At 40.8% G+C, this 26,701-nt stretch overlaps 2 pseudogenes, besides 1 other annotated feature; both read left to right on the top strand.

The window, feature by feature from the left end:
* MED15P8 (mediator complex subunit 15 pseudogene 8) lies at positions 2,849-4,846 on the top strand (annotated as a pseudogene).
* Positions 4,545-5,046: an enhancer, noted in NCBI's record as "H3K4me1 hESC enhancer chr2:131958317-131958818 (GRCh37/hg19 assembly coordinates)". NCBI's record gives its function as "activates a minimal SCP1, AML or CMV promoter by ChIP-STARR-seq in naive H9 embryonic stem cells {active_cell/tissue: H9 hESC(naive)}" and the evidence as "EXISTENCE:reporter gene assay evidence [ECO:0000049][PMID:30033119]".
* NF1P8 (neurofibromin 1 pseudogene 8) lies at positions 7,782-17,342 on the top strand (annotated as a pseudogene).

Raw genomic sequence — 26,701 nt, 5'->3', positions numbered from 1 at the left:
TTAGTCTAGTTAAAGCTTGTCAGTTTTGATTTTTTTCTAAAAAATCCAGCTCTTTGTTCCATTGACTTTTTGTATTTTTTGTTTCTATTTTTAAAATTTCTTCTCTAATCTTTATGATATTTTTGTACTAATTTTAGCATTTTATTTTTCTCATTTTTCTCACTACTTCAGGTGTACTGTCAGGTTGGCTATTTGAGATCTTTCTACTTCTCTGATGTAGGTGTTTATAGCTATGCCCTTTTCCTCTTACAACTGCTTTTGCTGCATCCCACAGGATTTGTTATGTTGTGTTTCTATTATTTTTTCAATAAATTTTTAATTTTCTTTTTTTTCATTTATTTATTGGTTGTTCATGAGCATGTATTTTAATTTCCATATATTTGTACAGTTTTTCCTCCTGTTATTGATTTCTAGTACTATTCCACTGTGGTCAGAAAAGATACTTGATATGATTTCAGGTTTTGTTTTTTTTTTTGTTTTTTTTTTGAGACAGAGCCTTGCTCTGTCGCCCAGGCTGGAGTGCAGTGGCGCGATCTTGGCTCACTGCAAGCTCCACCTCCCGGGTTCACGGCATTCTACTGCCTCAGCCTCCCCAGCAGCTAGGACTACAGGCGCACACCGCCACGCCCAGCTAATTTTTGTATTTTTAGTAGAGACAGGGTTTCACTGTGTTAGCCAGGATGATCTCTGTCTCCTGACCTTGTGATCCGCCCCCCACCCCAGCCTCTCAAAGTGCTGGGATTACAGGCATGAGCCACCGCGCCTGGCCATGATTTCAGTTTTTAAAAATGTGTTGTGACTTGTTTTTTGGCCTAACGCATAGTCTGTTGTGGAGAATAATCCGTATGCTATTCAGTGGAATGTGCATTGCGCAGTTGTGGAATGGAAAGCTGTGTAAATGTTAGGTCTATTCGGTATAGAGTACAGTTTAACTGATGATGTTTTGTTGTCTGGATGATCTGTCCGTTGAAGATAGTGGGGTGTTGATTATAGCGGAGCATTGAGGCATTCTGTTACTGTATTGCAGTCTACGCTTTAAGATCTGTTAATATTTGCTACTGTATTTAGTTGCTTGAGTGCTGGTTGCATATGCACTTGTAATTGTTCTGCTGTTTACTTCTTTCTCATTATATAATTATCTTCATATTTTTCTTTTTTTGACTGAAAGTCTATATAATCTAAGTAGAGCTACTCCTGCTTTTTTTGTTTCCACTGGTATGGGATATCATTTATCATGTCTTCACTTTCAGTCTATGTATGTTTATAGGTGAACTGAGTTTCTTGTAGGCAGTATATAATTGGGTCTTGTCTTTTAATCCATTCAGCCACTCTGTCTTAATTGGAGAATTTTATTCATTTATATTCAAGGTTATTATTAACGGGTAAAAACATACTACTGCCATTTTTTACTTGTTTTCTGGTGGTTTTGCTATTCCCTCTTTTTTCTTTTGTTCTTTCTCCCTTCCTTCCTCTTTCTCTTCTCTCTGATCTCTTTCTTTCTTTTCTTTCCTCCTTCCCTTCCTTCCTGTCTATTTGTAGTGAGGTAATTTTTTCTGGTAGTGTGTTTTAATTGCTTGCTTTTCATTTTTAGGGTGTCTATTATTGATTTTTGTTTTCCAGTTACCATGAGGCTAAACAACATAATTATAACAAGTTATTTTAAACTGAAGAAAACTTAACTTTGATTTGTCCCAGCTACTCCGGAGGCTCAGGTGGGAGGATTGCTTGACCCTGGGAGGCCAAGGTTACAGTGAGTTGAGATCACACCACTGCGAATATAAATAAATAAATAAACAAACAATAGCTTATAATGAATTCTGATTGTAAATTTTGAGATGATGATAAGGTATAAAGAAGAAAGTGCAAATCATTCATAATCTCATTACTCAACTACTCCTAATGTTTTGGTACATATGCTTCCTAATTCATAACTCTCTCTCTCTCTGTCTCTCTCTGTCTCTCTCTCTCTCACACACACTCACACACACACACACACACACGTACACATAAAATAGATATATTTTACACACAGATACAATTTTATTGTAACATTTTAAGAAAAACAGCTTTGTAATTTTTTATTTAAAAATATTGGCTGGGCGTGGTGGCTCATGCCTGTAATCCTAGCACGATGGGAGGCCGAGGCGGGCGGATCACGAGGTCAGGAGATCGAGACCATCCTGGCTAACACAGTGAAACCCCGTCTCTACTAAAAATACAAAAAAAAAAAAATTAGCCGGGCGTGGTGGCGGGTGCCTGTAGTCCCAGCTACTTGGGAGGCTGAGGTAGGAGGATGGCGTGAACCCAGGAGGTGGAGCTTGCAGTGAGCCGAGATGGCGCCACTGCACTCCAGCCTGGGTGACAGAATGAGACTCCATCTCAAAAAAAAAAAAAAAAACTCAAAACTGACATGGCAGTGGTGAGTGTGGGATCCTGGGCATCCCTGGGAGAATTGGGGCTCCCCCAAGAGCTCCTGGGACCACTGCTGGGAGGGGCCTTCAAGGTTAGGGTGGCCGGGTAGGGGCTGGGCCTGACCTGAGACCCTGCCCACCAGGCCTCTTCCAGGCCAGGTTTGCTGTGCTGGGTGGGAACGTGGGAGAAGTCACTCTCTATCTGCGGCCCCCATCAGTGCCTCTGCCACCCGGCCCAGAGGGGGCAGGGACTCTGGGGCGGACAAGGCTGTGGGGGTGGTGATTATACCCAGGATCGGCCAACATTGTCTGCACAAGGGTGGAGGCTGAGAGAGAGGCCTCGGGAATCTGGCTGTGAGGACGGGCCTGGGGTGGGAAAGCCCCCTACATGGGGAACCCTCAGGTTCCGGGCTGCTGACCGTGCCCATCCTGCTCCAGCCCACTCCCCCACTGCCCCCGGTGCCACCGACCAAACAGCAGTACCTATGCCAGCTGCTCCTGGATGCCATCCTGGCCAACATCCGCTCACCCTCTTCAACCATTCCCTGTACCGCACAATCATTCCAACCATGACTGCCATCCACAGCCCACCCATCACGTACATCCAGCTGGGCTGGGCTTCGCGGAGGGTGGCTGCCTGGCCCTGGGCCATGTGTGCCCAGTGTGGTCACCATGGTGCCTCCCCAAGGCCCCAGTGGTATGCACCCTGAAGCACAGGCTTGAGGACGATGAGCAGCAGAGCATCCCCAGCGTGCTCCAGGGCCTGGTGGCCAGGCTGGAGCCCAAGTGCATGATAAACCTGGACCCTTCTCACTGCAGCAACAATGGCACTGTCTGCCTGATCTGCAAGCTGGGCGAGTGTCCAGGAGGGCCAGGCTGGTGCAGGAAAGCAACCCCCGACCGCAGCCCCAGGTCTCTGCTGTCCAAGCCAGAGGGTACAGTGCCCAGACCCCATCCTGTGTTTACGTGCCAGCAGGCTGTCTGCTCTGTCTTCACATACACTGGGCCCAGGACAGACTGGCCATGCCTCTGCCCCCACCCCCGGAGCCCACTCACCCTCACCTCCCCAACACAGATGCGGCTCTGCTTGCCTGGGGCCTTAGGGAGGTGGCAGGCAGGACCTCTGGGCACCCATCTATGCAGGTCACTCTGGCTTCAGGTTTGGAAATCCAAGAGTCAGAGAGACATCCAGGCTTTGCCGCAAGCCTCACCAGAACCTCCCGGGGTGTGAAGAGTCCTGTTTGGGAGCAGGGCTGTGAGGCGGGGCAGGCCAGGGCTTGTCTGGGTCACGGGTACAGCCTTGTGTGTTGCAAACGACAAGGACCTCCCAAGTGTGCCACCATGTGCCCACCCACTACCCTACCCAGAGTCCACTGTGGATGGACCGGCAGTGGCTATACAGTGGGCAGACCCAGAGGAGCTGTCTGGGGGCCCAGGGCAGGCAGTGGTCATTCTGGAACACCAGGCTTCCAGTGCTGCAGGGACAGCCTCTGTGCACTCCAGCCCCTCCCAGCTCAGGCCCGTCCCTCCCCTCTTCTGACTCCCCCTACGCGGGCAGCAGTGGGTTTTCCAGTGGTCACCTGAGAGATAGGGGTCTCTGCTCTTCTTCTGTGTCCCTTTGCCCCTTCATCTTGTGTCAGGTCAGTTGTCCAGGGTGGCTGTGTTCAGTGGCTGAGGGGTGAGAAAGCCTACGGCTCAAGGACAGACCCCACTTCTCCCAGAGGCCACTAGGGAGCTCAGCGGGGCTGACAGGTCCTACCAGTAGCTTGGGCACACAAGACCCCATCTGGGTGATGTGGCTCCAAAGAGAGTCATGTTGACAGGGGTCAGTGTCCCTGAGCCCAGAGCTGGCACACAGCAGAGACAGGGTTGGGTCCCCAAGGTTGTCAGAGGCAAAGCCTTGGGCTCCAAATCCCGTTCAGATTCAGTTCTTCACTGACGAGGCTCTGGGAGGAGAGGCCGATGGCCAGGCAGGCAGCGTGCAGGGCTCCTCCTGGTGCTTCAGCCAGTCCTGGGTCTGCCACTTCCCAGAGCACTGTCGGGTGTGCAGGGCGTGGGTGCAGCGCCGGCTGCCCCAGGCTCATGCCCACTGTTCTGTTGCAGGCACCAACCCCTTCCTCAGGTCAGTGCACCGCTGTGTGACCTCCAAGCGGCCACAGCTCCCAGACAAGCACTCGGTTACCACCTTGCTCAACACCTGTGCCCGGAGCATCCACAAGGCCTGCCTCTCAGCTGCATAGCCAGGACTGCAGGGATGGCCCGCAGCCTCATCGGGGCCAAGGACGCATGCCTCCTGTCAGACACTTCTAGGTGTTGGTGTCCATGGAGAGCCTGGAGTTAGGTTAGCTTTCCTCCTTTTCTCTCCTGCCTTGGGGATCTGCCAAATGAAATCCCGCACTTGTACAGACTGATACGGGCAAAGTGGAGCGGGCTGCCTGCAGGGCGTTGGCCGTCTTCTTGGAGAAGGCACTCCATGTGACTTCCTCCACGAAGCCAGACATGGTCCCCAGCCACGATCCTTGGGCTGCTCTCACCACGGCCTGTCCAGGGTCTGGGTGAGTCTCAGCAGCATGAGGGTGTGCTCAGGGTGTTGTTAGAGCATCGGTGTGTGCTCGACACGCTCCTGCTGCTTTCTATAGGAGAACACAGAGGACATAGGAAACCCTTCAAACACACATGGGATTCTCTGCTCACAGTTTTGGGTTCAGGCTGCGCTGCTTTGGGCAAGTGGGGCACCCCCTAGGGAAGCCCCTGAGTGCAGGGCACAGGCTGCCTCTTTTAATACTTGTTTTTTTCTCATACTCAGGATCTATACTGTAGACTTTATAAACACTGTACCCTTAAGCTACACCAAATTTATAAAAAATATTTTTTCTTCGATAATTAACTTTTCTGTAGCTTTTAAAATTTATGAACTTTTAAATTTTTTAACTTTTTGACTCTTGTAATAACAGCTTAAAACACATTGTACAGCTAGCTGTATAAAAATATTTCTTTATAGCCTGTAAGTTTTTTTTTATTTCAGAAATGTTCTATTTTAATTTTCAGTTTGAAAACTCTGTTAAAAACTGACACAAACATATACATTAGCCTAGGCCTACATGGGGTCAAGATCATCAGTGTTACTGTCTTCCACCTCCACATCTGCTCCCATTGGAAGGTTTTTAGGGGAAATAACGTGTGGATCCAGCTGTCATCTCTTGTGGTAACAATGCCTTTTTCTGGAGTACCTCCTGAAGGACCTTCTGAGGCTGTGTTTCATAGTTAACTTTTTATCTTTAAGTAGGAGTATACTCTAAAATAACAATAAAATGTATACCATAGTAGACTGGGCCTGGTGGCTGACGCCTGTAGTCTCAGCACTTTGGGAGGCCAAGGCGAGTGGATCACCTGAGGTCAGGAGTTGAGACCAGCCTGGCCAACATGGCAAAAGCCCTTCTCTACTAAAAATACAAAAAAATAAGTCAGGCGTAGTGGCTTGCAGCTGTAGTCCCAGCTACTCGGGAGGCTGAGGCAGGAGAATTGCTTGAACCCAGGAGGCGGAGGTTGCAGTGAGCCGAGATCACGCCACTGCACTCCAGCCTGGGCAACAGAGTGAGACTCCATCTTAGAAAAAAAGTGTATTATAGTAAATACATAAACCAGTAACAGTTATTTATTCTCATTATCAAGTACTGTATATTATACATAATTGAATGTGCTATACTTGTTTTATATGACTAGAAGTGAAAGTTTGTTTACACCAGCATCGCTGCAAACAAAAAGTAATGCATTGTGCTTGGACATTATGATGGCTATGTCACTAGGCGATAGGAGTTTTTCAGCTGTGTTACATATTGTCTATCATTGACTGAAATGTTGTTATGTGGCATAAGACTCTATTTACTTTTTTGGAAATTATTCTTAAATAAGGAAAAATTCTGCCATTTACTACTTGTTCCCTGATCTTATGTTTCTGTGCAATGGCTGCATCAGAGAAGAGTCGTTTGATAGTTACACTTAGTTACGTCAAAGTAAATACATCTGTTTAACCAAAGTTTCAGCTTGATCTAAGGTGAAACACCTCAACTTAGAGTGAGGAAAAAATACAGTTGAAAGAGACCAAACAGTAAAACCAGAATTTGTTAAATCATTTAGTAAAACATTTGCCTAGGGGTTAAGGGGCAGTTATAAATATAAAAGCAAACTATTAGTAAGTTTTGCTATTTCTCTTCTGTAGTGACATTCTTGAGTATAAGCGTGTGCATTTAAATAGCTATTCTTCCCTTCTGAGGACTACAGCCCTTCAGTATTCTTGGGTATAATAACAAATGCATGTTTCACTTAAACACTGAAGACGGTTCATTTGTGTTGTAGATATGCATGTCCGCTTTTTAACTTTGAAAGGCAGCCTGTTTACTTGGACATTTGTATTATGGGTCCAGAGTTGGTACACAGTCTACTATTTCTATGTTATATATATGTTTACATAAAGGCATTCATGTCAAAATCAGATAGTTTTGTGTTCTTTTAAAGAAGAAAAGGAAAATATGTTATAATAATAGGTGATACTAGATCTAGAATATAATTGTTGGATTTTTGGTTGAAAAACATCTATGATTATTTTAATTCATCCTATGTCTCTGTAATGAAAACATGTTTTCCATAAGTTTACCTTTCTCAGAATTCTTCCTGTTTTATGAATGTTCTTCAGGCAAAATGCGTGCATTCTGTAACTTGAAAGAGATGGAGTGCCATCGAAGGAAAAAGCAAATTTTACAATTAAACTAGTAAATACAGAGATTGCCTAGATAATATATTTCATTAATTCTAAGAAGCACTTATTTTTACTCTTCTCTGAAATTGGGAGTGTATCTTATTTTAGATGGTGTCTTACAATTGACAGCGGGTTTTCATTCCTTTTGGGACATCAAATAATGCTGCATCTTACAACGGACAATACTGTAGAGTCTGTGAAATACTTGTGTGTATGTGTGTGGGGAATGTTTGTTAATGAGTTACCCAGTGTGGAGATTTGTGAGAACTAGAGACCAAATGTCTTTTCCCTTATATTTTTACATTTTGGAAAATCGTTTTTTACACAGGAGGTTTTTTACAACCTGATATTAAGCTTTTAGTATTGTAATAGATTTTCATTGTTTTATTAGATTGATTAAAAAGTAATATAAATGATGCAAAAACAATTTCCATTTTTTTAAGCTTAATAATACTGACCTTATGCTTACTATTGAGTGTTTCTACCTATACCACACATTTGGTAGTATAAGAATAGCTTTTTTCAAAGTTTTTTCATAATAAATTTCTTTTAAAAGGTTGGATAGCTATTATCCTGAGTCTTATGTCTGATACCATGTTTTTGTTTGGTTTTTAGACTCTTACATTTAAAGAAAAAGTAACAAGCCTTAAATTTAAAGAAAAACCTACAGACCTGGAGACCAGGAGCTGTAAGTATCTTCTCTTGTCCATGGTGAAACTAATTCATGCAGATCCAAAGCTCTTGCTTTGTGTAAGTGTTTTTTTATGAAATGTCTCAAAATTACCACACTAAGTTCATTTGGTTTGACTGAAACACCAAGACCTTGAGGGTAATTTTTAGCTCAAGAGCACTTACTGATCCTTTCTGATCATAACTGAAAACTAAGACGTCTCTAAGAATCCTAATGTATAATGAATACTGATATAATTAGATCAGATTCTTAATTGCCCTTACCATTTCTTAACATTTCTCTTTCTTCTTAATTTCCCTGTCATTCAACTAACATGCTTAACATAACTAAGCTTCTCCAAACTTGTATTCATTATGGGAGAATGCCATTCTTATGTCTGGTTATATCTGCATTAGGTTATTATTGATGCTAGTAACAATGAACTTTATGTTACTGCAGCTCACAAATGTATTTTTACATCTGCAAGAAATTAACTAGTCGTCAAATGCTTAGTAGCACAGAAATTCTCAAGTGGTTGCAGGAAATTTTGACCTGCAGGAATAAATTTCTTCTTTAAAATAAGGTAAGCAAAATGACATCTTTAAAAAATGGGAGAATATTTGGAATGGTGATGGGGAGAGATTAAGAAAGTGTTTTATAGCCAAATTAGTTTCTATTTCAGCTCCTCCTTCCCCCCAAGGTTCTCAAAAGGATACATATGTGCAGAGGACAAGGGCTGGCAAATTAGCACTTTAAAAATTATTCTGAAACTTTGGCCTTAAAACCACACTGTTGATGAATTCTAGTTCTAGTTGAGTAAATAGGTGTCTATGGGACAGGCCTAGGAAAAGTGGTGACTGCCGTAACCAAAGTAGCTTGAGGAGCATATTCTATCTTTACTCTCAAGTTCACACATAGATATAATTCATACATAAAATTTATTTTAACATATAGCTTCTATAATTAATCTAAGAATTCTATTATGGCATAGATTTGGGAGTACTTGATTTAATGAGTTTTTTGTCCAGTTCTAGAATCATAGCTCTGAGAAATCGTAAAGGCCTAGATGTTGTGGCTAGACTAGTCCAGAGAATTATCTATCAAGAAGCAAAAGGGAAAAGGTTGAGGGTCCTCAATCTAGGTTTATTTCTATTCCTCCAATAAGAGTTTCACATCTTGAAAATTTCACAACACTTCTTGGGGTGGAGTGAAATTTTTTGATTCTGAACTATTGAAACATGGTGAGGTTGTGGAGGATAGAAAAGAGTCTTACATTTCTTTTAACGTATAGTTTCTATAGTTAAACAATTTAGGAATTCTATTATGGCCTAGTTTTAGGAATACTTGATTTAATGAGTTTTTATCTGGTACTAGAAGCATAGCTGTGAAAAACCTTAAATGTATGAAACTCATATCCTTTTCAATATTATACAGCTTGTTATTAATAAATTGTCTCTGTTTAGAAATAGACTAATGGTGAAGTGGATTTATTCACATCTGGCTTATTTGATGTGTTAATATAGCAGAATTTGGCATTATTCCAAACATATGGAAAGAGATTAGACTTCAGACTTTCGTGCCCTTGCCTATGGTATAATCTCCAGAATATGAGTATGAGGAATCCAGTAATGAATTCGTAGTGCCCTGGTCAGCACAGTCACTCTTGTGACATACTTGGTGTATATACCAGGGTTAATTACTGGTCCAGAAGAACTTAATCTCAGAGTCAATTTCTAGTTATGCCAACATGGCACAGGATAAAATCTTGTGGAAAAAAAATCTTTGTCATTGAGATCAAATTATAGTTTTCATACAGTGGATTTACATTGTTGATGTTTTACTTATGTTTATGTTAGACTTAATTTATATTTGTAGAATCTACTGTTTCTGATTATTTAGAGAATGATTGAAACTGAAAGAAATTTTAAAGACATTAAGTGAACATTATTTGTTCTAATGGGTTTCTAGTGAATTTCCTTCAAGATGGGGCATAGAGATTGAGGGGAGAGGTTTTCTAGGAGAGTCTCAAACAGGAAGACCACCCATATAAGTGTTTATTCCTCTTGGTTGTCAGTGCATCAGTAAAGCTTATTTCTTTCTTTTTTCTAGCAGGCAGATAGAAATTCCTGTCACTTTCTCCTTTTTTATGGAGTAGGATGTGATACTCCTTCTAGTGGAAATACCAGTCAAATGTCCGTGGGTCTTGAAGTGTCACTGCATACTCCTGAGCCTCTCTCCAGAAGGGAAAAGGGAACTCCTCTATGGTCAGCTTCTTTTGTAATTTTCCTGTATCATCTCGTGTGCTCTATTTGTTTTCTGAATGAACTTTGGTAAATTTCATCCAGGTAATATAGTGTAATAGTGAAAAACTGCTTAGACTCTAGTTCTATCACTGCTCTTTATGGAACTTTGGGCAAATTCTTAACACCCTTGTTCCTCAATTCCTCAGTTTTAAAATGGGGACAATAATAATTCCTGCTCCAGAGTTGTTGTAAGGGTTAAATAAAAAAATGTCTAATTAGCCGGGCGCGGTGGCAGGCGCCCATAGTCCCAGCTACTCAGGAGGCTGAGGCAGGAGAATGGAGTGAACCCGGGAGGCAGAGCTTGCAGTGAGCCGAGATAGTGCCACTGCACTCCAGCCTGGGTGAAAGAGCGAGACTCCGTCTCAAAAAAAAAAAAAAAAAAAAAGGTATATATAGCACTTGACACTTAAAAGCTGTATCTGATAACCTCCACCTCATGAAAACCCATTCATACCATAGAAGTATAGAATTTGTACCAGCTAACAAAGGTACAGATGTAAAAGGATAAAAACAAAGTATTTTGCTTCATGTTAAAGATAAGTGTTTCTGTGATTTGCGTTAGTGTGTATTATTTCCTTTAAATATAAATCATATTTCAAGTGAAAATATCAGATCATTAGAGAAGAGTTTATTTTCCAAACCAAAATGTTTTTCATCCCTAATTTTTAATATAACCTTGTTAAAGAAAAAAACATCTAAGCAGTATGCTATTTATTATTGTCTGTTTTACTTGTAGAATTTGCATTTATTTTGTCAATTATTTTCTCCATTTCATGTTTGGGGAATAGGTAATTCAGAATCAAGTCTATCTTCTACAGCAATATTTAGTTCTTGTTTATGCCCTTGTTTCAATGAGTGCCGCAGTGTACTTATTTTATTACTTTCCTATAGCAAGTAGATAGAATTTCCTGTTACTTCCTCTGTTTTTGTCATTTGTAATTGACTGGGAAGTACATTATATCATTACTGCAGTAGATTTATGTTATGGTGTTTTACCCATCCATGTTAGAATCAGTTTATATTTCTGGAATCTGGAATAGGATCATACCTATTTGATTTGAAATTGGACAGATAGTAGCTTTATGTTGGTCCAGAAAATCTCATTTCTCATTTGGACAAGATATTTTGGGGTTTGAAAAATTCCTATAATGATTAAAGGAGAAAGCTCTTGCGAGTTATTGTATGCTGAGATATATATGGACACACACACACACACACACGCATACACAGTTTATTGCGTCATTGGGTTTTTTACATGAAACTACCCAAGTTGCAAATATACGTCTACCACCCTTGACTCTCAGGATAGTGCAGCAGGATGCAGCGGAGCCCCCCGACTTGCCGACAAGCGCAGACCAGTCTAGAAGTGGCCCTGTACATGTTTCTGCAGAACCCTGACACTGAAGCTGTTCTGGTTGCCATGTCCTGTTTCTGCCACCTCTGTGAGGAAGCAGATACCCAGTGTGGGGTGGATGAAGTGTCAGTGCATAACCTCTTGCCCAACTCTAACACATTCATGGAGTTTGCCTGTCAGCAATGTGATGTCAACAGGTAAATGGGAATAGTGGTTTTTTTACTCAACCTGCCTGAAGCACATGGCATCTGATTGTGAGAATGTATTTAAGGTTACTATTCTGTAAGTTTACAGGGGAAATTCAAGTAGCTTACTTGAAATCCTTTTCTGAACAAAGTAGGATGAAAATAAAAAGCATTTGAAATAAATTGTGAGTCTCCCACTGAGTTTTTAATATGCTATACATTTTAAAACTAACTGGCAGTATATGTTACTATCAGTTATGACTATGTAATTTACATATGGAGTTATGGATAACTCCATGAGTAAATTATAGGTGGGAATGGCTATTTTGTGCTGTGGACATTGTAGAGTCTAAGATAAGTACCTTTCCTGTGAGGTTAGTGAACGAAGTTTTTGGCTTTATCACTTGAGGCATTTGCTCTGCTCCTCCTACTCTGCCTTTTGGGTGGGGCTTATCAGGTTCTCCATTGGCAGGCAGGGCTCTAAGTGCAGTGACTTGATTGGCTGTTGTAGTTGCTTAGGAACAGCAGCACTTCAGAAAGAGTGATGGCACTGCTGAGGCGCACTGAGCATCCCACTGCAGGAAACACTGAGGTGTGCCCTTAGCAACAGAAACACCCCTCTCAGGCGCCCACCCTCAATTTTGGAAGCCTCTTGTTACATATGTGTGATGAGGAATAGCTTTTGAAGTAAATCCAAGATATGTGCATATCGCAAGTACAATATCTGAGTACTTAATATATATCAAGTTTCAAGCTTGGCTGTTGCTGATTGATGTTTAGCTCTAGACTTAAAGTTGCTTTCAAGTGATAACTGTCTTCATTTTAGGCTTGGGAAGATACACATGCAAAATGGGAACAAGCAACAAAACTAATCCTTAGCTATCCAAAAGCCCAAGTGGAAGATGGCCAGGTAAGTTTGTAAAGTTGCCTTTTGTCTATTAACTGATCTAAATATATGTACTTCACTTTGGTAATCTTTCACGAGTCACTCAGTAAAATAAGCATATAGTTGTCTGAAGACTGTTATTTAGTTGTGGTTTGTCTAGACCTGTACTTTGTAATATGATAGCCACTAGCTACGTGTGACTATTTAACTTAAATTTTAACATAATTAAAATTAAATACAATTTAGTTCCTCAGTCATATAGTAGCCACATTGCAAGTACCCGGTAGCCACATATGACAATTACTTACTCTGTTAGACAGCAGAGAGAGAAAGTATTTCCATCATCACAGAAATACTGGGCAGCACTGCTAGAGACTGTTTGTTGCAGAGACCATTTCTTTATCTTTTCTTGCTCTTTCTCCCTTCATCAGGGTGTTTCACAGAATTTTCAGAAAAGGAGCAACAGAGGTAGAGAAAAATTAACATGGGAACAATTCATTTTGCCATTTTGTTAGGTATTCTAATTAAGGAATGTCTTGGGCAGAAGATTGAGCCCATAGATTAAATGAAATTTTAAAATGTGGACAGTTCATTCAACTATTACTATTGACTGTATTATCTGTTGCTTTGGAAATTGATGAGTTGGTGTTTGTGTGTATATGATTTATAATGCTCATATTGCTCTCATTATTAGGAGATTTATAAAAACTGGCTCTTCCCCCATGTTATTTTTCTGTCATGCTTAATTACAATAAGAAAAAAGTTATATTTTAGTGAAGCAAAATTGTGTACCTAATACCTTTATTTGGAGGGGACATGTAGCTTTAGAATGAAAGCTTTTGGGGGATAACTGTTACTATAATATATAATTACATACCATACAATTCACCCATTCAAAGTGTCCAATTCAGTGACTGTTGTTAGCATATTCACAGAGTTGTGCAACCATCACCACCATCAGTTTCAGAACAATTTCATCAATTGAGAAAAAAAACTCTGTATCCTTTAGCTATCTCTGCCTCTAACAACTCCCCCACTTTCTTGTCTCACTTCCCCCCGCCTCTCCAACCCTGGGCAACCAGGAGTCTACTTTGTCTCTATAGATTTGCCTATTCTGGATATTTTCTGTAAATGGAGTTTTAGAATATGTGGGCTTTTATGATTAGCTTCTTTCACTTAGCATAATGTTCCCAAGGTTCATCCATGTGAAATCAAAGCTTTTTAAAAGAAATTTGATACTTGGGCAATTATATTACTGTATGACAAAAATAAATCAGTGGCTCTTTAAAAATGTATATGGTAATTTAGGGGGTTGATTTTAATGTATTTTTTACATTTTTTTGTACTTTTGTCACGGACGAAATGTTGGATAACGAGTAATTTGTCAAGTCTCAACTAATTTAGGTTTAATTCATGCTTTGCACAAAAATTTTGTGTTTAGGCTGTTGAAAGCTTCACAAGACCATTGTTAAGAGGCGAATGTCCCATGTGAGTGGAGGAGGACCCATAGATCTGTCTGACACAGACTCCCTACAGGCATGGATCAACATGACTGGCTTCCTTTGTGCCCTTGGGGGAGTGTGCCTCCAGCAGAGAAGTAATTCTGGCCTGCCAACCTATAGCCCACCCGTGGGTCCGGTCAGTGAACATAAGGGTTCCATGATTTCAGTGATGTCCTCAGAGGGAAACGCAGATACACCTGTCAGCAAATATATGGATCAGCTCTTGTCGTTAATGGTGTGTAACCTTGAGAAAGTGGGACTTCAAATACCGACCAATGATAAGGACCTGGTGGGTCTAGAATTGAGTCCTGCTCTTTATCTGATGCTATTTAACAAATTGAAGAAGACCCATCAGCAAGTTTTTTGACTCCTAAGGACAGGTAAAGTGTGCTCTTTTTTATTTTTCACCTTTCCCTATGAATAGAGTGACTTGTTTGAAATAATGAAGGCTGTTTCTTTCAGAGTATTTAAATTAGGTACTCACAGTTTTTAAAAATTGTCAAAAAATTGTAGAAAGAAGAATCATCTCAATGAATGGTCAGCTTGCTTCTAGGAACTCTGATGTGTATGTGTGCCTGAGGGTATACGTGCCTTGTATATGGGTATGAGTGTCTGTGTATATCTGTGTGCCTGTTTGACTGCGTGCCTGTGGGTGCATGTCTCTATTTGTGTGTTTAGATCAGTCAGTTTCATCTCTCTAGGGATCTGTCTTCTGGGCATTGATGGCAAATCATTAATATATTTGTTCTCTCTATAGGTTTTATTGACTGATACCAATACTCAATTTGTAGAGCAAACCCTAGATATAATGAAGAACTTGCTAGATAATCATACTGAAGGCAGCCCTGAACATCTAGAGCAAGCTAGCATTGAAACAATGATGTTAAATCTGGTCAGGTAAGCCTTCTACTGAAATGTAGCAGAAACATACTTTAAGATTTAAGAGACAAGAAAAACCTCTCACACATTGATATTGATAGTAATTGATAAAATAATTTGCCATTCTTTACTGCACACAAACGGTGTGAAAATAAGGTAACCAGAAATTGTGTATGCTCTCCTACAAATAAATATCTTACTGTTTTCAAACTTACATTTAGTTCGTTTTATTTGATGATTAAAGTATTTTGAATGCCTTATCTTATGTCTGTATCTGATAATTTTTTTATTGTCTCTATGTCTGTATAGGTACGTTTGTGTGCTTGGGAATATGGTCCATGCAATTCAAATAAAAACGAAACTGTGTCAGTTGGTTGAAGTAACGATGGCAAGGAGAGATGACCTCTCATTTTGCCGAGAGATGACCTCTCATTTTGCCAAGAGATAAAATTTAGGTGAGTTCTCAAAAGAGCAATGTAGGGTCTTGTAAATCTTAGTTTGTTCAATGAAGTACAGAAATAGAGTAGATATCTGGTTACTGGTAGAAAGGAAGACATAAAAAGAGAGCAGTTTACATGTTTGTTTTTCTCTATGTCTCTCCTCAGATTTCCCTAAGCTTTGTGCCTGTGGCAAGCCTCCCTTTTTCTAAAACTCTGCTGTACTTGAGCTAAGAATTTGATTCTGTTTCCAATCTGATAGCATAACTAAGGGCCATGATGGAGGATAAATATCCACGTTGCTTGTTCCTTCTGGCTTTTACATCTATGATAGCAGTATCTCTTTTATAAAGTCGTCATGTCACCTGGGTTATCTGCCAAATTATTTGCACTGTAAGTAATCTTACATGACTAAAGGTGTGTGTGTGGGGGTGAGGTGTGACTTCAAAAAAATTGTTTGCTGTTTCTCTTTTCTCCACCATTCTATAGGAATAAGATGGTGGAATACCTGACAGACTGGGTTATGGGAACATCAAACCAAGCAGCAGATGATGATGTAAAATGTCTTACAAGGTAAAAAAAAATGACTTTCCAATATTAGTGGGTTTTACTGTGAGAATTGTAACTACTTCATTACAGCTTTATACTTGTATTTTATGTGTATTTAAACTTTTTAGATGTAAAACTTTTGTGTTCAAAATATGTAAAGACACTAATCTTTATTACTACTTTTTCTTGACCGATAGACTTTCAGGAAAAATAAATGTGCGAGAGCGGTATGTTTGGGAAGTTATTGCTGTCAGTTTATGAAGAATAGTCTACAGTTATTGGGAAATAAGATACATAAAGCCTCAGATTGCATTTATGTTATGATTAGATAGATAAAGGTATTATTTGAGAAACTCATTGTGTTGAGTCTAAGAAACAATTGATTTCCTGATTCAAACACCAGAGATAGACAAAAAAAGGAAGTAATTAAGTCTACTTTAATGATAAATACTTATTGACACATATCAGAAAGTGATTAAACACTATGGACTGTATAATAAGCATTTACATATGTTTCTTTGACAAAGCCGAGCTTTATAATACGGTCGTCTCTCAGTATCTGTCAGGGATTGGTTCCAGGAACCACCCCCCAAACTCCTGCCCACATCTCACTCCCATGAACACTAAAATCCACAGACTCAAGTCCCTGATACAAAATGTCATAGTATTTGCATATAAACTATGCACATCCTCCCATATATTTTAAATATTTTTAGATTACTTATAATATCTAATACAATATAAATGTTATATAAATAGTTGTTATACCATATTGTTTAAGGAATAACAACAAAGAAAAATCTGTACATGTTGAGTATTTGAAATCAAGGAGATTAGGTTGGACTTTCAATAAATGGTGTTGATAAAACTGAGTAATGATCTGGAAAAATATCTTCATACCATTTGTGAGGATAAACTCCCATCAATCAAAACAGCATGGCAAAGCAAGGCCTTTTTCATCCATTCAAAATCCATAAGCTAGAAAGGAAAAGATTGATAAAATGAATTCATTCAAAAATCATAAACTTCTGTCTGGGACAAAAATGTCATGAGTAAAAACAATCCTATGGTTAATATCCTCATCCAATAGTTCTCTTAGAATAGTCATAGAAGTGCTTTTGTGGCTCAAAGAGCAATACCTTGAAATTTTTGGTGCATGTTGTCAGATTACCCTTTAGAATGCCTGTTGCTTTTAAAATATTTTTTATTTTAGTATTTTATTGTTTATCCAATTATAGACTATTTTACATACTCAGTAGACAACATAAAGCCTCAGAGGTACTCTGTTCTTTTTCTTTTAGGCATCAGGTACATGAAAAAGAAGACATCAAGGCTTTGAAAACGTTAAGTATTTTCTACCAAGCTGGGGCTTCCAAAGCTGGGAATCCTATTTTTTATTATGCTGCACGGGGTAAGAAATACTATGTTTGGTGTCTCCTCTCAACAGAATTTTTTCAATGATAGCAATTATAGAGACGGCAAGTTTGGTTTTTCATATTTGACTTAACAAGAATTGAAGACAAGTTTACCTGGGAGCATACAGTGGGTTTAAATAGCCTGCCTTTCCTAAAATGATGGTCAGTATCTAGTAACTGCTTTTCAGACTACCCATTTCATAGGGGTTTCCCTGTCCTACATCATTTTTTTAAATACTGCCTACAATGGATTAATTACCAAGAGTCAAAAAACCACAAAGCATCTTTTGTTTTCAAGTATATTCTGATTAAATAGTACAACATGATAAGCGGGAACTTTTTTTAAAAGAAGAAATAAAACTGTAAGAGCCTGTTTCTGAGAACTTTTAAAAATATGCTGTGTAAGACAGCATCAGGGTGATTTAGAAAATAATTCAAAGGGGTGGTGGGAAATCATGAAGATGGTGCAAGGGGTGGCCTGGAAAATGGTGCTTGTTCGTGCTGCCCTCAGTCGAGGCTGGTTCCTAGAAAGCCTTTCTGGAAATGTTGTGAGCTCTTCCTTAATAATAGATATGATGCTTGCATTGCCTTCCCTATCATTGTCTTTTTTTCTTGCCTCATTTTACCTTCCTTTTGAAAACTCTTCTGTGACATTATTTGGTCCCATTTACCATAACATACATTCATGGTCATTGAGCCTTAGAGACAACATGATACGTATAGAGACCACTGATTTTGGAATCTCAAGGATCATGTTTAGACTTAGTTCTGCCACTCATTAGCTATAGACTTAATCTTTACCAGTTTCCTGGATTTAACAGTGTTTAACATCCATGACCATTAAGTTAGTAGACATACATTGTTAGTCAATTTGCTGGCCACAGGTGGCAGTGTGTAGGAAACAAACTGAGGTTGAGAAATAGTGGAGAGGCGGTGAAGAATCAGTGGAAGATGGGAAACTTGTCTAATTAGGTCCTTCAGATAGCCTTAAGACCAAGAAGTCCAAAGGACTGGAGCATTAGGGAATCAAGAAAATAAGAAAATTGTGTTGAACCTCCCCTTCCCCCGCCCTTTAGCAATTCTAAGTAACCCCTTCTCACCTTCCCATGAAAGGCCTCTCTCCAGCTCTCATCTCAGTTGCTATTTCTAAATTGCCTAAGATAATTTTAATTTTCTTTTTTTTTTTTGGGATTTTAGCATTCTAATTTTTTTTATTATTATACTTTAAGTTTTAGGGTACATGTGCACAACGTGCAGGTTTGTTACATATGTATACATGTGCCATGTTGGTGTGCTGCATCCATTAACTCGTCATTTAACATTAGGTGTATCTCCTAATGCTATCCCTACCCCCTGCCTCCACCCCACAACAGGCCCCGGTGTGTGATGTTCCCCTTCCTGTGTCCATGTGTTCTCATTGTTCAATTCCCACCTATGAGTGAGAACATGCAGTGTTTGGATTTTTTGTTCTTGTGATAGTTTGCTGAGAATGATGGTTTCCAGATTCATCCATGTCCTTACAAAGGACATGAACTCATCATTTTTATGGCTGCATAGTATTCCATGGTGTCTATGTGCCACATTTTCTTAATCCAGTCTATCATTGTTGGACATTTGGGTTGGTTCCAAGTCTCTGCTATTGTGAATAGTGCCGCAATAAATATACGTGTGCATGTGTCTTTATAGCAACATGTTTTATAATCCTTTGGGTACATACCCAGTAATGGGATGGCTGGGTCAAATGGTATTTCTAGTTCTAGATCCCTGAGGAATCGCCACATTGACTTCCACAATGGTTGAACTAGTTTACAGTCCCACTAACAGTGTAAAAGTGTTCCTATTTCTCCACATCCTCTCCAGCACCTGTTCTTTCCTGACTTTTTAATGCTCACCATTCTAACTGGTGTGAGATGCTACCTCATTGTGGTTGTGATTTGCATTTCTCTGATGGCCAGTGAGGATGAGCATTTTTTCATGTGTCTTCTGGCTGCATAAATGTCTTCTTTTGAGAAGTGTCTGTTCATGTCCTTCGCCCACTTGTCGATGGGGTTGTTTGTTTTTTTTCTTGGAAATTTGTTTGAGTTCATTGTAGATTCTGGATATTAGCCCTTTGTCAGATGAGTAGATTGCAAAAATTTTCTTCCATTCTGTAGGTTGCCTGTTCACTCTGATAGTAGTTTCTTTTGCTGAGCAGAAGCTCTTTAGTTTAATTAGATCCCATTTGTCAATTTTGGCTTTTGTTGCCGTTGCTTTTGGTGTTTTAGACATGAAGTCCTTGCCCATGCCTATGTCCTGAATGGTATTGCCTAGGTTTTCTTCTGGGGTTTTTACAGTTATAAGTCTAACATTTAAGTATTTAATCCATCTTGAATTAATTTTTGTATTAGGTGTAAGGAAGGGATCCAGTTTCAGCTTTCTACATATGGCTAGCCAGTTTTCCCAGCACCATTTATTAAATAGGGAATCCTTTCCCCATTGCTTGATTTTGTCAGGTTTGTCAAAGATCAGATAGTTGTAGATATGTGGCATTATTTCTGAGGGCTCTGTTCTGTTCCATTGGTCTATATTTCTGTTTTGGTACCAGTACCATGCTGTTTTGGTTACTGTTGCCTTGTAGTATAGTTTGAAGTCAGGTAGTGTGATGCCTCCAGCTTTGTTCTTTTGGCTCAGGATTGACTTGGCAATGCGGGCTCTTTTTTGGTTCCATATGAACTTTAAAGTAGTTTTTTCCAATTCTGTGAAGAAAGTCACTGGTAGCTTGATGGGGATGGCACTGAATCTATAAATTACCTTGGGCAGTATGGCCATTTTCACGATATTGATTCTTCCTACCCATGAGTATGGAATGTTCTTCCATTTGTTTGTATCCTCTTTTATTTCATTGAGCAGTGGTTTGTAGTTCTCCTTGAAGAGGTCCTTCACGTCCCTTCTAAGTTGGATTCCTAGGTATTTTATTCTCTTTGAAGCAGTTGTGAATGGGAGTTCACTCATGATTTGGCTCTCTGTTTGTCTGTTATTGGTGTATAAGAATGCTTGTGATTTTTGCACATTGATTTTATATCCTGAGACTTTGCTGAAGTTGCTTATCATCTTAAGGAGATTTTGGGCTGAGATGATGGGGTTTTCTAGATATACAATCATGTCATCTGTAAACAGGGACAACTTGACTTCCTCTTTTCCTAATTGAATACCCTTTATTTCCTTCTCCTGCCTGATTGCCCTGGCCAGAACTTCCAACACTATGTTGAATAGGAGTGGTGAGAGAGGGCATCCCTGTCTCGTGCCAGTTTTCAAAGAGAATGCTACCAGTTTTTGCCCATTCAGTATGATATTGGCTGTGGGTTTGTCATAGATAGCTCTTAGTATTTTGAGATACGTCCCATCAATACCTAATTTATTGAGAGTTTTTAGCATGAAGTGTTGTTGAATTTTGTCAAAGGCCTTTTCTGCATCTGTTGAGATAATCATGTGGTTTTTGTCTTTGGTTCTGTTTATATGCTGGATTACGTTTATTGATTTGCATATGTTGAACCAGCCTTGCATCCCAGGGATGAAGCCCACTTGATCATGGTGGATAAGCTTTTTGATGTGCTGCTGGATTCAGTTTGCCAGTATTTTATTGAGGATTTTTGCATCAATGTTCATCAGGGATATTGGTCTAAAATTCTCTTTTTTTGTTGTGTCTCTGCCAGGCTTTGGTATCAGGATGATGCTGGCCTCATAAAATGAGTTAGGGAGGATTCCCTCTTTTTGGAATAGTTTCAGAAGGAATGGTACCAGCTCCTCCTTGTACCTCTGGTAGAATTCGGCTGTGAATCCATCTGGTCCTGGGCTTTTTTTGGTTGGTAAGCTATTGATTATTGCCTCAATTTCGGAGCCTGTTATTTGTCTATTCAGAGATTCAAATTCTTCCTGGTTTAGTCTTCGGAGGGTGTATGTGTCGAGGAATTTATCCATTTCTTCTAGATTTTCTAGTTTATCTGCATAAAGGTGTTTATAGTATTCTCTGATGGTAGTTTGTATTTTTTAATTTTCTTTTGTACTTGAGATGAACCATATTTGCATTCTAACCCCAACCTTTAATACAACCAGGATGTTTTTACTTTCCCTTTTTTGTGTAAGTAAAAAGCAAACATTGGTGAGGAAGGTAGAAGATGTGTGTCCCCTCCTCTTTAAATTTTTTTTTTTTTTTGAGACAGAGTCTCGCTCTATCGTCCAGGCTGGAGTGCAGTGGCTCAATCTTGGCTAACTACAAGCTCCGCCTCCCGGGTTCACGCCATTCTCCTGCCTCAGCCTCCCTAGCAGCTGGGACTACAGGTGCACACTACCATACCCAGCTAATTTTTTGTATTTTTAATAGAGACAGGGTTTCACTGTGTTTGCCAGGTTGGTCTCTATCTCCTGACCTCGTGATCCACCTGCCTCGGCCTCCCAAAGTGCTGGGATTACAGGCATGAGCCACCATGCCCAGTCTAAAATCTGACTAGTTTACAAATAGCAAAGATTTCTGGAAAACAAAGTTGGGTTGGTTTTTTTTCAGGATCAGAAACTGTTATATTTGTATTCCTTCTCTGTGGTGATCTAGAAAAAGCTAAAGGAAAGCAGATTGGACCTGCTGTAGATACTTCAGTGAGATGCAATCAGTTTGGTTTCCATGAAACCTGTTGAGTCTTGTGGCTTGAGAGTGCTAAGGATTCTCAGCTCTGCTGCTTATTAGCTGCATATTCTTTTTTTTCTTTTCTTTTTTTTTTTTTTGAGATGGAGTTTCACTCTTGTCGCCCAGGCTGGAGTGCAGTGGCACGATCTTGGCTCACTGCAACCTCCACCTCCTGGATTCAGGTGATTCTCCTGCCTCAGCCTCCTGAGTAGCTGGGATTACAGGCATGCACCACCACATCCAGCTAATTTTACATTATTAGTAGAGACAGGGTTTCACCATGTTGGCCAGGCTGGTCTCGAACTCCTGACCTCAGGTGATCTGCCTGCCTCAGCTTCTCAAAGTGCTGGGATTACAGGTGTGAGCCACGACACCTGGCTTTAGCTGCATAATCTTAGATAAGTTTATTTTTCCAAATCTGTTGCTTCATATGTTAAAGCTGGGGTGTGTGCTTATGAAAACTGTCTACCTCTCCTATAAAATGTTTTGTGACCTATAAAGTTGTGTAAGGAGTAAATCTGAGATTTTCTTTTTTTCTTTCGTTCTCTTTCTGGGGGATATGGCACTGTCAGTTTCAGATTTTCAATCCTTTTAGTTTCTTACTTAGACCTACTGGAGTTCTTCCTGGCCTTCATTTTCGCCTGGTGGGAAGCCTAGCTCCAGGACAGATGAGTACACAGTACATCAGGGCAGAGCGTCCATTTACTCCATTATGAAGGTCTTGTCTGTCTATATGCCATCAGCTTTGTCAAAGAGCACTTGGGTTTGACTTGTCTTTTGATACTCCTGTGTTTCTGCGGCTTAGACTACCATGTATTAAGTGATGCTTTTTGAATTGCGGATTTTCCAATCTCCTCATAGATAGTACGCAGACGTTTCAGACTTGAAATGTCCAAAACTTAATTCAGTATCTCTTCAAATCAACCTCCTCTTCACACCATATTTCTCTTCCTCAGTAGCATCATCATCTCTTCTAGTTCCCCATCTAGAAACCCTAATCATTTTAAATTGTTTCCTCTTCTTTTTTTTTTTTCCTGGTGTCCCCTGGGGTTTGTAAAGCTCTCCAGACATTGAGACTGTACAGGCATGTCTCACTCCAAATTGGGCGAAATCAGTCATTGATTTTAATAGATTTTCACCAGGTACCTTTTCTGCGTCAAGCAGTGGGTTAGAGGCTAGACTCAGAGATGAGTAAAACCAGACCCCACCCCCTGACCTAGCCCTTCTTGCTCAAGAAGCCAACACTTAGTGAGAGCATCGGAAAGCCTGGTGGGCTTCTGAGCCCTGGGACTGGAGAAGTGGGGGTCCCAAAAGCCATTACAAGATCAAAGAGAATAACAACAGGAAACTGCCAGAAATACCCAGTCATGGGCAAAGGAGCCTGTCCACATACCACTTGATGCCCAAGAACCCGTGTCCTTACTTGAGAGTACATGTGTGTTCACAAGCATGTGGAGCCCAAGGGCCTGTGCAGCTGTCCATGTGGGGATGGGTATCAGGCTTCTGATTGGGGTGCACAAGTGGTGTGGGAGTCTCTTTTTTTCTTTAATTTTATTATTAGTATACTTTAAGTTTTAGGGTACATGTGCACAACGTGCAGATTTGTTACATATGCATACATGTGTCATGTTGCTGTGCTGCACCCATTAACTCATCATTTAGCATTAGGTATATCTCCTAATGCTATCCCTCCCTCCTCCCCCCTCCTCTTATTTCTTTTATCTTCCTCATTGTTAGTCACCAAATCTTGGTTTTACCTGTGAGAGCCTGGGCAATCAATTTAAGTTGTTTTAGTTAGGCTTTTATTGCAAAGCAGTCATTTGTATTTTCTCAAGGATCTTAGGAAAAGCGTGAATTAGAGCAGAGCCTACCCAGAACTAGATGGCTGTGGGTTCTGGAACTGGCTACGCTCTTTGACTGTCTCTTGGTTTTGTGTTCAGCTCTTCCTCATGATTTTCATCTTTCTGTATCCTTTCAGCTTTTGCCCCAGATAGTAACCCCTTCGTTATCTCAGTACTTGCATGTCTAAAATTCCAGAAAGAAAATATGATTCAGCTAAAAAATATCTCTGCTTGGCAGGACCTTTAATGTTAGGTGCTGGCCAGCCAGTTGATTTCTGGTGTCCCTATGACCAGTATGTGCCTCAGCCTGCCAAGTAGCTGGGATTACAGCCACCACCACACCCAGCTAATTTTTTGTAATTTTTAGCAGAGACGGGGTTTCACCATGTTGGCCAGAATGGTCTTGAACTCCTGACCTCAGGTGATCCGCTCACCTCAGCCTCCCAAAGTGCTCGGATTATAGGTGTGAGCCACAGTGCCCAGCCCACCTGAGGCTTCTTTTTCCTTCCCAAGCCGCATCACCATCCTGGTGGAACTCTCCTGTGAGGACAGCCAAGGCCTGAACTACCTGCGGTGGGGAGCACCTCAGGGTTTGCCCAGGCAACCAGCCAGCCCTGGTCCAAGGCATCCTGGAGCGAGTTGTGGATGGCCCCGTGCCCCACCAGACAGTGCGCCTGGAGGACCTGGACGAGAGCGGTGAGCCCCAGGCTGGGGAGCCAGTGCTGCCTGGCATCCTCCGGCCACCCTACCTGGCTGAGGGGCTGGGCCTGGGCCTGCCGGTGACAGCCATCCCTGTCCTTCCTGCTCAGGGGGCAGGCTGTCAAAGCTTATGTGAAAGCAGCTGAAGAAACAGTCACAGCCCATAAGGCAATGCTCCCTGGCCTTCGTTTCCCCAGTGATAACGACACTGCCAGAATATCCCCCTCAGTGCAGTGGCCAAAGTCAGAAAGTGGGATCAGCCAGGCATGGTGGCTCCCAGCACTTTGGGAGGCCAAAGCGGGTGGATCACTTGAGATCAGGAGTTCGAGACCAGCCTGGAACATGGCAAAACCCCATCTCTACTAAAAATACAAAATAGTAGGGCGTGGGGGCGCACATCTATAATCTCAGCCACTCAAGAAGCTGAGGCATGGGATTACGGCTGCCAGAAAAAATGTTGTTGCCCAAGCCAGAGTGCAGTGGCGCGATCTCAGGTCACTGCAACCTCCACCTGCCAGGTTCAATAGATTCTCCTGTCTCAGCCTCCCAAGTAACTGAGATTACAGGCATGTGCCACCACGCCTGGCTAATTTTTTGTATTTTTAGTAGAAATGGGGTTTCACCACGTTAGCCAGGTGAATCCCAAAGTCCTGGGATTACAGGCAAGAGCCACCACACCCAGCCGATATTTTGAATTTTTAAGGTTTATCAGCTTGGTCATTTGTGTGATCCAAAGTTGTAGGCATTTTAAAAACATTAAAAATATTTTCATTTTTTATTTCTTCTATAATTTTAGACACATATTCATTTTTATTTCTTCTGCAGTTTTAGCTACATATCCCTAAGGTCATACAGCTAGTAAAAGCTAGGATTCAAGCCCAGGTCTTCTCATTGTGTTGCTTCTCCAGTACTGCACTACCTCTCCAAGATGCTTTTGATGGTATCTACAGGATTTCTAAGACCATATATGGGAAAGAGCTTTGTAAACTGTGAGGCTTTTTTATGTAAAGCAGAACTTGACGTGAGATTAAGAAAAGTAAATACTAAAGGAGAAAAGGATGGTAAACCCGTTTATATAGTCTGTCAATTTAACTATTTTTAATTTTTTTTTTTTTTTTTTTGAGACAGAGTCTCGTTCTGTCACCAGGCTGGAGTGCAGTGGCACGATCTCGGCTCACTGCAACCTCTGCCTCCCGGGTTCAAGCGATTCTCCTGCCTCAGCCTCCCAAGTAGCTGGGACTACAGGCACGTGCCACCACTTCCAACTAATTCTTTGTATTTTTAGTAGAGACAGGGTTTCACCGTGTTTGCCAGGATGGTCTAGATCTCCTGACCTTGTGATCCACCCGCCTCAGCTTCCCAAAGTGCTGTGATTATAGGCGTGAGCCACCTACGCCCGGCCAAGTTTAAATGTTTATTTTAATGTTTGTGCAATAACGTCCAGTTTTGCCAAGCAGAATGATCTGCATAGGAGCTTTTGTGCAGAACTCACTGTTTTTCAGTTAGAGCTTATTACTCTAATAGTGAAATCAAATCCATCTTCAGTTGCTACATGGCTTTGTTAAACAGTTAAACTTGAGTTGGAGATGCTCTGTCATAGGGAGGAATTTTCGCTCCACAGATGTGTTCATATAATGTATTTTCCCCTTTCCCCTATGGAAACTTTGTGGAAAGATTATTTCAGTGTTAACCCTGATTGATATTTTAGTAATTAAACAAGTGTCTGTTACTCCTTTATCAAGCATTTAATGAGTGTCTTCGGTGTGCTAGGCACTGCACTAGACTCTGGGGAGTCAAGGATGAATCACACTTAGTTTCTACCCCCTGGGAATTCATTCTGGTTGGAGAAATTGTTAACAAAAAATTATCATCCTATGGGATATTTTTTTAAAGTATGAAATGAGATAATGTGTGTGAGAAAACTTTGGAAGTTTTACACATTTAGGATTTTTTTCTCCAGTGCATAGCCTGATGCCTGACATATTTTAAATGCTCATTACACCCTTGAATGAATTGGTGAAGAGCCAAGAGTTATGAGAGCATAATGCTAGAGTGTAGATGGATTAGTTCTGCCTGGATGGACAGGTGGGATGCGGAGGCTTCCAAGAATACAACTTTTGAACTGGACTTGGAAATATAAGTTAAGAATCGAGAGAG

The sequence above is a fragment of the Homo sapiens genome, chromosome 2 (genome assembly GCF_000001405.40).
Source record: "Homo sapiens chromosome 2, GRCh38.p14 Primary Assembly".
Lineage (NCBI taxonomy): Eukaryota > Metazoa > Chordata > Mammalia > Primates > Hominidae > Homo > Homo sapiens.
This window is presented reverse-complemented; position numbering and strand designations above follow the sequence as displayed.